This window comes from Homo sapiens, chromosome 7 (genome assembly GCF_000001405.40).
Source record: "Homo sapiens chromosome 7, GRCh38.p14 Primary Assembly".
Lineage (NCBI taxonomy): Eukaryota > Metazoa > Chordata > Mammalia > Primates > Hominidae > Homo > Homo sapiens.
The window spans coordinates 123,613,478-123,627,420 of NC_000007.14; the positions used below are offsets into that span (position 1 = coordinate 123,613,478).

Consider the following 13,943-nt stretch of genomic DNA (forward strand, 5'->3'; position numbering starts at 1 on the left):
TAAAGAGTAAAATAGTAAATTCATTCTCCTAATTTGATATTTGGGATAAATAAGCAAATGAAGACTAATCTACATTTTTCTGTATTATCTTCAGGGAGGTGGGCCAGTCAAGAGCAGTGGCTTGTAATAGAACTGTGTAAGGGAGTGAATGGGGACTCTATAGGAGGGCTGGTTTCCGGTCTATGGATGAAGTTAAAATGGTCCTTATAACAATGTTCAAATGATGCTCTGAGACCAGTCAGACTTTGAAGCTGACCATTGCTGGTTTGTGAAGAATGTAAAAGGGACCAGGCATGGTGGCTCACACCTGTAAACCCCAGCACTTTGGGAGGCTGAGGTGGGCAGATCACAAGGTCAGGAGTTTGAGACCAGCCTGGCCAACATGGTGAAACTCTGTCTCTACTAAAAAAATATGAAAATTAGCCAGACATGGTGGTGTGCACCTGTAATCCAAGCTACTCAGGAGGCTGAGGAGGGAGAATTGCTTGAATCCAGGAGGCGGAGGTTGCAGTAAGCCGAGATCATGCCACTGCACTCCAGCCCGAGCGACAGAGCAAGACTCCATCTCCAAAAACAAAAGGAATGTAACAGGATGACTGTTCTCCATTACAGCCATTATCCATCTTACCCTCATTGGATCAATTTTTAAGCTTTTAATATGTTATGTACACACTCTCCAAGAAAACTGATGGACCAAAATTGGCATCAATCAGAAGCTCAGGAAAAAGTGAATTCTTATAAGCCCAACTGCAGTCATTACTGAAAAAAAAAAAAGTCAAAAGTTAGAAAGTGCAAATGCTCAAAGGGCAGGTCATTAAAGGTTTCAACAGTTAGACCATTTAAGTTAATAAAATGGACCTCACAAGTAATGTGGATTAAAATGTTACCCACATTTGTATTTGTTAACTAGGGAAAGGAAAATGCATTTTAGTTTTTCACTATGCATTTTTCATGTTTACTCTATGTACTGTTTTGGGCCATTTCTTGATAATAAGAACTTGTCTCGTTCAAAATTATATGCAGGAATGGATACTAATGATGACCCTGATGAAGACCATCTTACAAGTTATGATATTCAGCTAAGTATTCAAGAATCCATTGAAGCCAGCAAGACTGCACTTTGTCCTGAAAGGTAGTATTCAAACCAACTATCCTCAGCAAAATTTCTTTATGGCATTCATTTTGTTGTAAGATAAAATGAATACCGTTTCCTAATTCCTCCTCTAGGAAAATTGACCTTTCCTTTCTGATAGGGAATCTAACAGCTTTCCAAGGGCCACTGTTCATAAGTTTTAGCAATCTGATCTTCCACAAATCCTCACCTCATGTGGAAAACAGGAAAAACCCTATGTGGAAAATTCCTAGATGAATTTGGTTGTATAGAATTGCCTATTTTCTAAATTAATATAGATTAACAAAGGGCAATGAGTAATTTGAACATATTTGCAAGTACAGTTTATAGAACAAATACACAGGTTGGTATACAGAGGTCTGTACACTCTAGAGCTCATTCTGCTACTGATACAGCTAACCCTTTATAGGTAACGTATTCCATTGTTGTATGTTTAAAATATGAAGAATAATGCTAAGCCATGTAGCCCATTAGTTAATGAATGAGAGAAGCGTTGTGGGCTTTTATTCTATATGGCAAAGTAATATACAAACTACCACCTATTTGATTATCTACTACCCAAATGACAAGAATTAATAAATTAAAATATACCTAAAAGTGATGTATTATGTAGGTAGGATTTATAGAGTCTAAAACTGCAAAAGTAAATTTCTTTCTTAAAAAAACACATTATACGTCTGAGAAATAAACTAGCTTACCTTTACTTTTTGTTATAGTGTTTAAAATCTTGTATTCTGGAATTTAGTAGTACTTTTGAAGAGATCCAGTGTTTAAAAATTGTTGCTTTTGAGCTTTGAAAAAATAGACGTAGTACACTGAAATTTCTGGTCTGGAATTTCTCCCTTATCTCCAACAAGCTTTAGAACTTCAGAGCTTCCTGGAAGGCATTCACAACCCTGGTATGCTAGCAGATGTTTCTGCTTAACAGAGTTAAGTAAATTTGTTATGGAATTCCTTCTTTCCACTTAACAAACACACACACCAGAAAACCTCCATGAGGGTTTAAATCATGACCTGCTGGGCCAGTGATTGGGAGTTTGTTCAGTAAATGCCCTGCCTATTTTCACTTGTGGAACAGTTGATTTAAAACTCGCATATGTAGTTTAGACCATAAGCTCCCAAGTAAGTATCTTATTAGCAATTATTAAGTTCAAAGCAAAAAACATTTTTTGAGCATAGAGTGTTTAAAATTAGAAAAACCTAGAGATCTTTCTATTAATTCCATCATTTTGCAGATGAAGAACCCACATCCAGAAAGGCTAATTGGCCTCCCCAGAATCACAAAATCAGGCTGGGAATTGAACCTAGCTCCTCTGAATCTGACTCCAATTGTTTACTCCTTTTTTATTGCTTTGAGATATCTCAGAGATAGCATTGTAATCTTCTATTTTGCCATCTTCACTAATATTCTTAGATCAATGCATCATAAATATACTCTGTGTCTGACTCCCATACATTTACTTTTTAAGGAGATAAAATCAATTATATGCATCTCCTTTGGATCTTGATTATTAAAATTAAGTTTAAAAATGCAATATAAATTAAAATGTTTGGTTCCTTGAACTATATCACTAGTATCTAGTATAAATATTATTTTTCTTTATCTCATAGATTTGTACCCCTAAGTGCTCAAAACAGAAAACTTGTGGAGGCCATAAAACAAGGTAAATGGGTGTACTATCTACAGTGGGATGGACTGGAGATTCCACCTTGCAAAAACAGAGATTAGTCATCAGTCCATGTGTTTAATTTAGGTCACATTCCTGAGCTCCAGGAGTATGTAAAATATAAATATGCAATGGATGAAGCTGATGAAAAAGGATGGTTTCCATTGCATGAAGCTGTTGTTCAACCCATTCAACAAATACTTGAGATTGTTCTGGATGGTAAGAGAACATAAAACATGTTTGACCAAGCCAGAGCAAGAATGTTGATATGTTGATGTTATAAGTGTTTTCAGTGAACATAACTAGCAGAAAGAAAAGGCAGATTAAAATATTATTTGGAATTTGAAAAAGGCAGCACCCATGTTTTAAACTCAGAGTATAAAAATTAGGAATTTTTTTGACATTGGGGGTTTACCTTTTGCATCCTTTTACCTATGAATGAGACACAGGTTGGTGGAAAGATGTGGTTATCACATAAAAGTGATAAAAGTTTCTATATATCATGAATTAATTGAGTCATATATAACACTTTTCTTTTGGAAATCAATTTTAAATTTTTCATTTTGAACTATCTCTTGAGTTAACAGTTTCCAAAAGATTCTTATATAGTACAACAGGGAGTACTGACAATACTGGTCTTTACATTACATTGATTTTTTTCATAATGTAAGCATTAAAAAATATTATGGCAAATCAAGCCACTGTTAAATATTAACAGTAACTTTTATGTTCTAATACAGTGTTTTCACATCTCAGCATCTTACAGAACACTTTTGAGAGTGCCCTATCGTTCAGCTTCCACTGTTGCATGACAGCTCTATGTTCTGGGAGATACATACTTGATTATAAGCCAGCCATCTAGAAAACTAGACAGCCAGACAGACAGATATAGATGATGTTAAGGATCATTTTGACACAGCGATACCTACATTCAAGTACATTCTCCATTCCCACATTCACAGATTTCATTTCACAAAAAAACAATTTCAGTTACAATATAAATTATAATACAAAGGATTGAAACATTGTTTTGTAATGTATCAAGAAATGAGACTTAGCACATCATTTTCAAAAAAGCAGCTAGAAACAGATTTTTGGTTTTCTAGCTGTCAATTTGATTAGCAAGTCCATGTGCATCTACTTTATCCTCACCGTCATTTGGTAAACTTTTGTCAAAGTCCTTTCATTTTCATCAATTGACTTTGTTCAATCCGATGTATATAATATTGGATTGCTCTGATTTGTGTAATATCCTATAAGTGAGTATTTTCAACTTTTCAACATAATGCTTTCATGTCACAGCATCCTATAAGACACTCTGGGAATTCAAGACCTGTGATGGAGAAACACCCTTGACTTTGGCAGTCAAAGCTGGTCTGGTGGAAAATGTAAGAACTTTATTAGAAAAGGGAGTGTGGCCCAACACAAAAAATGATAAAGGAGAGACCCCCCTTCTGATTGGTAAATGACCTTTTTTTCTAGAACTTTTATAGTTTGAAACAAAGAATAAGTATTTATTGGAAACCACTGTATAATGGCTAAAATTGTGATCTCAGTTCCTTCCATTCCCTGAGCTACTTGCCTAACCCCCATGTCTTCTGTCCTGTGATTTTGTTTTCCTATCCCACAAGGATGTCAAATATGAAAGATGGCTACATCCTTCAGTATCCAGTTGTAGAGACTGCAACTAACCAGGAGGGATCTGAATTAGTTTTTTGAAGCCAGAGATAGCAATTTTAAAGGAATATTCTCTAGGTAGGATCCAGTTGTAAGGAGGGTTGCATGTGCCATATGTAGCCAGAAGCAAGAGGTGGAAAGGGATTCCAAAGGGAGACATCAAGTTCACATCAGACTGATCAGGCGAACCTGGAAGGAAGGGAGGCCAGCAGATTCTGAGCACACAGATGCAGAGCATGGCACCTATGAGGGGTACACTGTGACACGAGGGAAGAATGGGAAATCTGAAGGTGACATTTACCAGCTCTGTCTTGTATATCCCGCTATTTGCTGAACAATAAGAATTGGCAAGTCTGTTTGTGAAAGCAGAGAGTGATAAGATTAACTCCAAATGACCCAGAGATAACATTTCCTTTCTCTTAGGGACACAGGGTGGTGGAGTAAGAATGTGGTGTTGGCACGTGAGATCACTGGGTTTAAATCTTAGCTGTGAATTGCAATCATGGGCCTCAGTTTTCTCAAGTATAAAATGGAAATACAACACCTACCATGCAGAATTGTGAGGAAAATTAGAGAAAAAATATATAAAAGCTCTCACATTAATAGATGTTCAAGAGGGAAGAGCCATTATGAAGTTGTCTGTGTGGCGGGAGGAGGAGACGGAAGAGGAGCAGGAGCAGGAGGAGAGGGAGGAAAGGATGTAAGATTATTTACCAGCAATCACAGAGAAAGACGTTAAAGGTCATAACTAGTTAAGAACCATCACAGCTCCTGTTCACAGAGGAATCACTTAAAAAAAAATTTTAAACAACCTTAATATTAAGAAAACCTGAATATTGTTAAGCAAACTTGGATAAATCATGAACATCAGTAAAATATTTGTATTTGATGGCATTGATTCAACAATATCAATGTAAAAAACGTATTAAGAAGTCACATTGGCCAGGCGCGGTGGCTCATGCCTGTAATCCCAGCACTTTGGGAGGCCAAGGTGGGCGAATCACGAGGTCAGGAGTTCAAGACCAGCCTGGCCAGCATGGTGAAACCCCGTCTCTACTAAAAATACAAAAACAAAAATTAGCTGGGCTTCGTGGCAGGCACCTGTAATCCCAGCTACTCGGGAGGCTGATGCAGGAGAATCGCTTGAACCTGGGAGGTGGAGGTTTCAGTGAGCCGAGATCGCACCACTGTACTCCAGCCTGGACGACAGAGAGAGACGCCGTCTCAAAAAAAAAAAAAAAAAAAAAAAAGAAGTCACATTAAGCCAGACGCTGTCCTGGGTAGTGTGGATATAAAGATGAATGGACTAATCTTCCTCCTTTCAGAGTCTAGGAGGAGAATTAGATGTGATTTAAATGGAAAATTAGTGTTATAAGTGCTATAATAAAGTATATATTTAAATTAAATTAGGAGAATAAAAAAGCAGTAAATCTGTAAAGACTTCAAAGAGCCTTGCTCTTGGAGATTGCCTTGAGGGTTGTATAGGGGAACGGCAGGTGTTCTGCCCCGATACAGTTTGCTCAGTGAAGAGGGTCTCCACGGCACGGTGTCATTTTGGCCTGGTTCCTTCTTGCCTACTCTTTTTTTTGAGGCAGAGTCTCGCTCTGTTGCCCAGGCTGGAGTGCAGTGGCGCAATCTCGGCTCACTGCAAGCTCTGCCTCCCGGGTTCAAGCCATTCTGCTGCCTCAGCCTCCCGAGTAGCTGGGACTACAGGCGCCCGCCACCACGCCCAGCTAATGTTTTGTATTTTTAGTAGAGATGGGGTTTCACCGTGTTAGCCAGGATGGTCTCGATCTCCTGACCTCGTGATCAGCCCACCTCAGCCTCCCAAAGTGCTGGGATTACAGGCGTGAGCCACCGCTCCTGGCCCCTTCTTGCCTGCTCTTGCCCCATGTCAGAACTTTCAGCCTTCACAAATTCAGATAAGATGGGAAAAACAATCTAATCCATATAGTTAGAATACAGACAAAGCTTCTGTAACAAAAAACAAAAATGCATCCACAAAGCAAACAAATAAACAAGAATGGCTTAAAGAGAAAGAAGTCATTTCTCTCTCACACATTGCAGAATGGCCCAGGGTTGTGAGGGTGGCTGTATCAACATTACAGTGTGCTTCCAAAGTTGCTCCCAACGTCGCCATTTTCCAGGCAGCAGGAAGGACTAAAGAGGAAGCCCTAGGCAAGCATCTTCAATTTAAAAAGATGACCGGGACAGTGCACACGGCCCTTCCACTCATGTCCCATTAGTTCAGATTTTGTCACAATGCCACCACACCTTGGGGCAACGGAGGCCAGGACATTTATTGTCTACCTGGATGGTCTGTGGCCAGCTAAATACTTGGGGCTTCTGTAGCTAGAAGGAAAAGGGGAAGCATAAATACTGAGAAACCAATCATAGTCTCTGCATACATTTTAATCTGCCTTTAAATCACAGTCACGTGACACTTTTCATAAATAAACCAGAACTCTTTTCCTGAGCAGGCTCTACAGATATTAAACAGAATATGTATCTGTGGGTGTTGATTCACCACTAGTAATGTGACACATATACATACATATATATATATATATATATATATATATATATATATATATATATATATTTTTTTTTTTTTTTTTTTTTTTTTTTTTTTTTTTGAGACAGAGTCTCGCTCTGTCGCCCAGGCTGGAGTGCAGTGGCGCGATCTCAAAACTCTGCCTCCCGGGTTCACACCATTCTCCTGCCTCAGCCTCCCGAGTAGCTGGGACTACAGGCGCCCACCACCATGCCTGGCTAATTTTTTGTATTTTTATTAGAGACAGGGTTTCACCATGTTAGCTAGGATGGTCTCGGTCTCCTGACCTCGTGATCCGCCCTCCTCGGCCTCCCAAAATGCTGGGATTACAGGCGTGAGCCACTGTGCCTGGCCCGTGACCTATATTATTTTTTAAAGGCCAGAATATGCCACAGGAGTGTTTGCAGCAACACCTGTGTTGTTTCTATAGATCACCTTGAATTTCTGCACAAAAAGGACACACTTCCAGAATTGTATACTGCTTCACTTTGCAAATACAGAATTATTCTCTACTTGCTAGTATCAATCCACTTATTTCTTAAAGGACAACTAAGCCGTGATTATCACTCCTTGTTTTCTTTTGGCCTCATTTAAATTTTTCTTTAATGCTTAAGGCCTACAACAGAGCAGTAAACATTTACATGCATTTCAAAGTTCCATGTTGGTTTCATTCTCTATGCTAGCAATATCTAAAGTGTAGGAAAGGAACTCTATCACTGAGTTATCAGAGTTGAAATAGAATTAATATTAGGAAGTAATATATTTTAAAAACTAAGTGGTAAGGTCGAGAGAGGACTAAAGTCTCCATGAAGTTAATATCCTGGAGGTGCTCATATACATCCTCATCAGCCACACATCTGGGGAATAGGGACTTTTCCTGGGTTACCTTAATCAGCACCTTTGTTGTGGAACCCATGCCAAGTCTTCTTAGGTTTTATAGGAAAATGGATTATTCATGGCACTTCCTCAGTTTGTTCTTGAATCTATGGTCTTCTTTGAGATTTGCTATTCAGAATCCCTTAACTTGTAGAGGAGAGATAAGAGGGAAAAAAGTATTTCTTCTTTTTGTCTGTACAATGCCATGTTAATTTTTCTTACCCTAATGGCATCATCCTTATCTCTATTTATGAGATATCCTTAGAGGGCCAAGAAAAAAATCACTTTTGGTCCCTCTGGGACCCTTATTCCCTATCAGCCATCTGGCCCTTCCTTATTTAAGGTACTTTGATGTATTATAGTCATCGAGTTTCTTGCTGAGTGGTAGATATCTGATTTGTGATGATCTGACACTTACTAAAGGTTTTTGCACTTGGACTCCTTCTCTGCCCACTCCCCTGGAGTTGGTGTCACCTTTCCCTAGTTGGATAGGCACAAGCTGATCCTGGCCAGTGGAGCCCAGAGTAAGGAGGACGCTCAGGGACCATCTGGCATGACGCTTCAGTCCCACTGCCCTCCATTCCTGATGGCCTTACCCCATTCACAGATCAGTTCATTTTGCTTCAGACATTTTCTTTCTCACAAATCAATACACATCTTCTTCACTCCATTTCCGCTTTTAATCCAGCAGTCCTTGTCAAGATAATCAAGATAACCCTTGCCTATCATCTATGCAAAATTCTTAATCTAATTCCCTAAACTCTTCAACTTAAAGTCAGTTTTAAGCATTACTATTGAAGCTATACATTTTAAAAATTAATAAATAATTTGAACATTTCTGAAAAAATTCTAAAGAATTCTAGATTTTAGAATTTTAAGTTCTAGAGAAAAAAATTTATATATAATATGTAAACATATATATAATCCACATGTAAAACAAGACATTTTTAAATTATTTTACTTAATCATTTATGTTACACCAATACTGTGCTTTATGAGTTTTCATTATTTCAGTCATTTATTGGTTAAGAATGTCTTCATGAGTTAGCTTGGAAGGGATTTCCTACCATTTGCATTATTATTTCTATGGGAAATACATTCTTGATTTCAAAAAATTAAATTGGAAGTGAAGTTTTGATTTTTTAAAAACTATCTTAAGTTGAAGATGGCCCATTTATGCAGTTATTTTCATGAAGAGAAACTATTTTAATCCATATGTTTTCTGAGTCAGACAAAAGGTAAAAAGATTATGAGGGAACAGGCTCATTATTTTAATACATTTTTTTTCTAATTATAAAAACTGCCATCAGAGCAAGAAGATCCATGAGGACACATTTCTCTTAGTTTGTTTAGCTTACTTGATGTTTGCTCTGCAATAACACCAGCTAGCATGAGGTAATTCACTGTAATTAGAGCTGCCAGTGACAGTTGGGCAATTCAGAGAGAGGCATTTGTCAACAGGTTCTACTTTAGACAAGGAGAGGGAGAAAAACGGGCATCTCCTGCAGGGATGGCTTGCCTGCTCCCAAATGAAGTAGGCAAAGTTCGTCTTCATCCTCCCATTACCACATTGGGAGCTGCTTTCCTTGCCTTGGCTTTAGATCCTTTCTGCGTTCTGCCTCCTGGTTACCCCAGAATGTTCCATGTGGCCTCATATCTTCTTCTACGTTTCCCAGTACAGGCCCAGACTTTGAGTCTCTCTTTAAATAGAAGGCAGCATAGGCTTCTTCTCTAGGCCATAAACTCTACGAGTGAGATCCAAATCTGTCTCTTCTTCCTGTTGTCCACAGTGCATAACACAGAGCCTTTAGTGGAGCTAGCCGTATTAACTGAATAGGAAATGAGTGAGTGAATGAATGAATGAGTGAATGTAACTGTGTACATCTCCATTTGTAGGGGCAGCACTCATCCTAATCTGTATTTTAATAAGATTTTACTTAAAAGGAAAAAAAAGTTACATTTTTAGAAGTGTATACATCTAAATGGGGACAATCTCTTAATAATCCAAAAGGGGAAAACCTTGTAACAGTATAATTTCAGCCATTAGAGATGAGCAGAGAGGGAGAGGGACAACTGATTTGGTGAACCTCCTTAATTGTACTACATTAACGGTCACTTACTTCACTCACTGGGAACAGTTGGCCTATGTAGATTCTAAACAATCTAATTGATAATCACCCATTAAAAATGTAAGAAAGAGGGCCGGGCGTGGTAGCTCACACCTGTAATCCAAGCACTTTAGGAGGCCAAGGCGGGCAGATCACGAGGTCAGGAGTTTGAGACCAGCCTGACCAACACGGTGAAACCCTGTCTCTACTAAAAATACAAAAATTAGCCAGACTTGGTGGTATGCGCCTGTAATTCCAGCTACTCAGGAGGCTGAGGCAGGAGAATTGCTTGAACCCAGGAGGTGGAGGTTGCAGTGAGCTGAGATTGTGCCATCGCACTCCAGCCTGAGCGACAGAGCGAGACTCTGTCTCAAAAAAAAAAAAAGAAAAGAAAAGAAGAAAGAAAGAATGGAAGGAAGGAAGGAAGGAAGAAAGAAAGAAAAGAAAGAAAGAAAGAAAGAAAGAAAGAAAGAAAGAAAGAAAGAAAGAAAGAAAGAAAGAAAGAGAAAGGAAAGAAAATACATATATAAGAAAGAGAAGTTCATTCAATACTTGCTGCTATCTTTTGCGGCAAGGGGAAAAAACCCTGTTTCTATAGGGGAAACCTGATGAACATGATTTACATATGAGGTTCCTGGGTCCTAGGAGTGATATAATAATAATAGCCAGTTACTGAGCTCCTGTTATGTACTAGGTACTACACTGAGAATTTTACATACATTATTTAATTTGTACAACCCAACAACAAGTGTTATTTCCATTTTGTTGGTGAAGAAATTAAAATTTGGAAAGAGGGCACACAGCATCCTATCCTAGTGATACGTGTTATTTTCTGTGAAACTCTTACCCCTCCTCCAGGTCTTAAAGAAAAGGTAGTGTCATCTTGTAAACTTATATTTCACAAATATAAACTTGGGTATGAGAAACAGAAGGGATATGAGAAATACATTATTTTCCTTGTAGAAAAAAAGTTACTAGCTAGTATCTATTTCAATATTAAATTTAGTAATTAGTTTAATACCACCTAAGGTATTTGTGTTAATATACTTACTGTTGTTTTTAACAATCATTTTCAAGCTGTGAAAAAGGGCTCCTATGACATGGTGTCGACTCTGATCAAACATAACACTAGCCTAGACCAGCCCTGTGTCAAGCGATGGTCAGCAATGCATGAAGCAGCCAAGCAAGGCCGAAAAGATATCGTAGCTCTGCTGCTGAAACATGGAGGCAATGTCCACCTGAGAGATGGATTTGGAGTCACACCACTAGGCGTCGCTGCCGAGTATGGTCACTGTGACGTGTTAGAACATCTAATCCACAAAGGTATGTGAAAAGGAGTTACACTTCCTGACTTTTGTCCTGCCTCTCGAACTCTCCTTTTCTCCATTCATCACTCTTCCTCACCTGAATGTAACTAGGGGAGCTCCTCTTCCTCTGCTGAATGGAACTTGGCATCAGGTTTTCCCACCTGGTCCCTCAGTAGACCCTTATTCTACAACTCAGCTAAGCCCTATACATTGTGACCTACGAATTTACAAGCCCAGTCCTGATTGCTCTCTCGAGAGACAGTTCAATCTGCACATAGATGGCCCATCAGGGCCTCATGCTCATCTTCTCCTTAACTGAATTCCTCCTGTTTTTCTACTCTTCTAATGTAATAATTTCTCTCAACAGGATTGAAAGATCGTATTTATCTCTAATTCCTCCATCACCTGCTTTCCTAAATCCAATCAGTTGCAAATTCTTGTAGCGTTTCTCTTGTCCTCTCATTGCAATCCATCTGCCATCCTGATCAGGTCCCTCAATTCTCCCTGGACCAGTGCAAATAGTTTCTAACCATTTTCTGGGTTTCTAGTCTCCCATCAGAGAATCACAGTACATACTGCAACTTGGCTCCTCTCCCTATAGGGCAGCTACAATAGTGTCAACTATCCAAAAAACAATCCCTATTGCATCATCTCAAATTGTTTTACCACGTTTATCCCTCACTGCTCCCATCTTGTATCCTACACTCCAGTCAAAATATACTAGCAGTATTCCCAAACGTACCTTGCAGGGTTTGGGTCAGGTCCTTGCCTTTATCTCTTCAGCACAATTCAAAGTCAATCTCTTGAGACACCTCCTCCCTAAATCCTTTCCTAATTCTTTCCAACAGATTGTGACACTGCCCTTTCTTAAACCCTCCAGGTGTTTTATACAACTACAGAACCATGAGTTAAGGAGACCTGACTCCTAAACTGGTTGAGCCACTACTCACTGTGAGACCCTAGCCTTATTCCTTAAATATCTGGTCCTCAGCGTCCTCATCTGCAAATGACCTCTAGAACCGCATGATCCCCAGTGATTCCCTGTAGGAAAAAGACTAACATTTTTGAGGTGTCCCAATACAACCACGTTTAATTTTCAAATAAGCCCTGTGAAGTAAGCTGTATTAATCATTCACAGATGTGGAGATGGAGGTGCACGGAAGTAAACGGCTTGCCCCCAGCTCTCACCATAAGCAGCAGAGCCACAGTCCCCTACATCATGTCTCCTTGTCTTAATGTCAGTGTCACTGGAATATCATACAGTTTGTGCTGTCTGATATTTTGTTTCATTTCCCCTCTAAGCTCCTTAGAGTAGTCACACTTATTCTTCTTAGGGTCACACACACTGATTGCACATAGAGGGCAATAAAGTATTTGTTAATACTTTATTAACTGTAAGTATTTGTTAAGTTAAAATAGAGGGGGCCGGGCACCATGGCTCATGCCTGTAATCCCAGCATTTTGGAAGGCCAAGGTGGGTAGATTACTTAAGGCCTAGAGTTCAAGACCAGCCTGGCCAACATGGCGAAACCCTGTGGTGGCACATGCCTGCAATCCCAGCTACTCAGGAGACTGAGGCAGAAGAACTGCTTAAACCCAGGAGGCGGAGGCTGCAGTGAGCTGAGATCACACCACCGCACTCCAGCCTGGTCGACAGAGTGAGATTCTGTCAACATAAATAAATAAATAAATAAATAAAATAAGAAACTACTGTCTTTAAATTAAAAAGTCTAATGAGCCTTTTTCAGAAGAATTTGCCTGTCATGAAAATTGACTTAGTTTCTCTCATGATTTTTGGCCCAAAGATTTTAATAAAACAAACCATGCTGCATGCATGACTGTTTATTGAAAGTATAGAAAACATGGAGGCCCTTAATTCTATACTTTTTAAGTACTAACCAGAAAGGAACACAACAGGTTTTGTGGGGGTTTTTTGTTTGTTTGTTTCTTTGTTTTTGAGATGGAGTCTCACTCTGTTGCCCATTCTGGAGTGCAGTGGAGTGATCTCGGCTCATCACAACCTCCACCTCCCAGGTTCAAATGATTCTCCTGCTTCAGACTCCTGGGTAGCTGGGACTACAGGTGCACGCCACCGTGCCCAGCTAATTTTTGTATTTTTAGTTGAGACAGGGTTTCACCATGTTAGCCAGGCTGATCTCGAACTCCTGACCTCATGATCCGCCCGCCTCAGCCTCCAGTGCTGGGATTACAGGTGTGAGCCACCATGCCCAGCCCCACAACAGGCTGTTTTTAAGGGGATTGTTTAAACAATACCATCCAGTTATCATTATGCCACGTTTTATACTGCCAGGTGGTGATGTGCTTGCTTTGGCGGATGATGGGGCGTCGGTGCTGTTTGAGGCAGCAGGAGGTGGCAATCCCGACTGCATTTCCCTCCTGCTGGAATATGGAGGAAGCGGAAATGTACCTAACCGAGCAGGACATCTTCCTATACACCGAGCTGCCTATGAGGGGCATTATCTGTGAGTGATAAATTATAGGGTAATTATTTGAGTTAAAAATGCTAATTTGTATATACAGTATAATCACAAGTCTATATGTAATACCTTTCAAAATCCAAGGAGAAATAGGCATAATCTTCAGGTTTTGATGCTCCAAATT

The 13,943-nt window shown here is 39.4% G+C and overlaps 1 protein-coding gene and 1 long non-coding RNA gene across 13 annotated transcripts in view; one reads left to right on the top strand and one right to left on the bottom strand.

The window, feature by feature from the left end:
- Positions 1 to 13,943, top strand: part of ASB15 (ankyrin repeat and SOCS box containing 15) — a 72,474-nt gene that overhangs the window by 46,470 nt on the left and 12,061 nt on the right. For 10 of the 12 annotated variants that reach the window (XM_011515819.3, XM_017011757.2, XM_011515818.3 and 7 more), the window contains 6 exons: positions 1,024 to 1,132; positions 2,744 to 2,796; positions 2,887 to 3,018; positions 4,102 to 4,260; positions 11,092 to 11,337; positions 13,633 to 13,804. In XM_011515819.3, the coding sequence (XP_011514121.1) occupies positions 1,026 to 1,132; positions 2,744 to 2,796; positions 2,887 to 3,018; positions 4,102 to 4,260; positions 11,092 to 11,337; positions 13,633 to 13,804 (869 nt within the window). In that variant the 5' untranslated portion in view covers positions 1,024 to 1,025. Of the gene's footprint in view, positions 1 to 1,023; positions 1,133 to 2,743; positions 2,797 to 2,886; positions 3,019 to 4,100; positions 4,261 to 11,091; positions 11,338 to 13,632; positions 13,805 to 13,943 lie in introns of those variants that run through there. The other 2 variants (XM_011515821.3, XM_017011758.2) reach the window with 2 other exon arrangements.
- Positions 684 to 11,480, bottom strand: ASB15-AS1 (ASB15 antisense RNA 1). The gene is made up of 5 exons (NR_111922.1): positions 11,419 to 11,480; positions 9,497 to 9,683; positions 7,917 to 8,053; positions 1,831 to 1,923; positions 684 to 759 (listed from the first exon to the last, which is right to left on the bottom strand). It is a non-coding gene; the product is annotated as an ASB15 antisense RNA 1 (long non-coding RNA).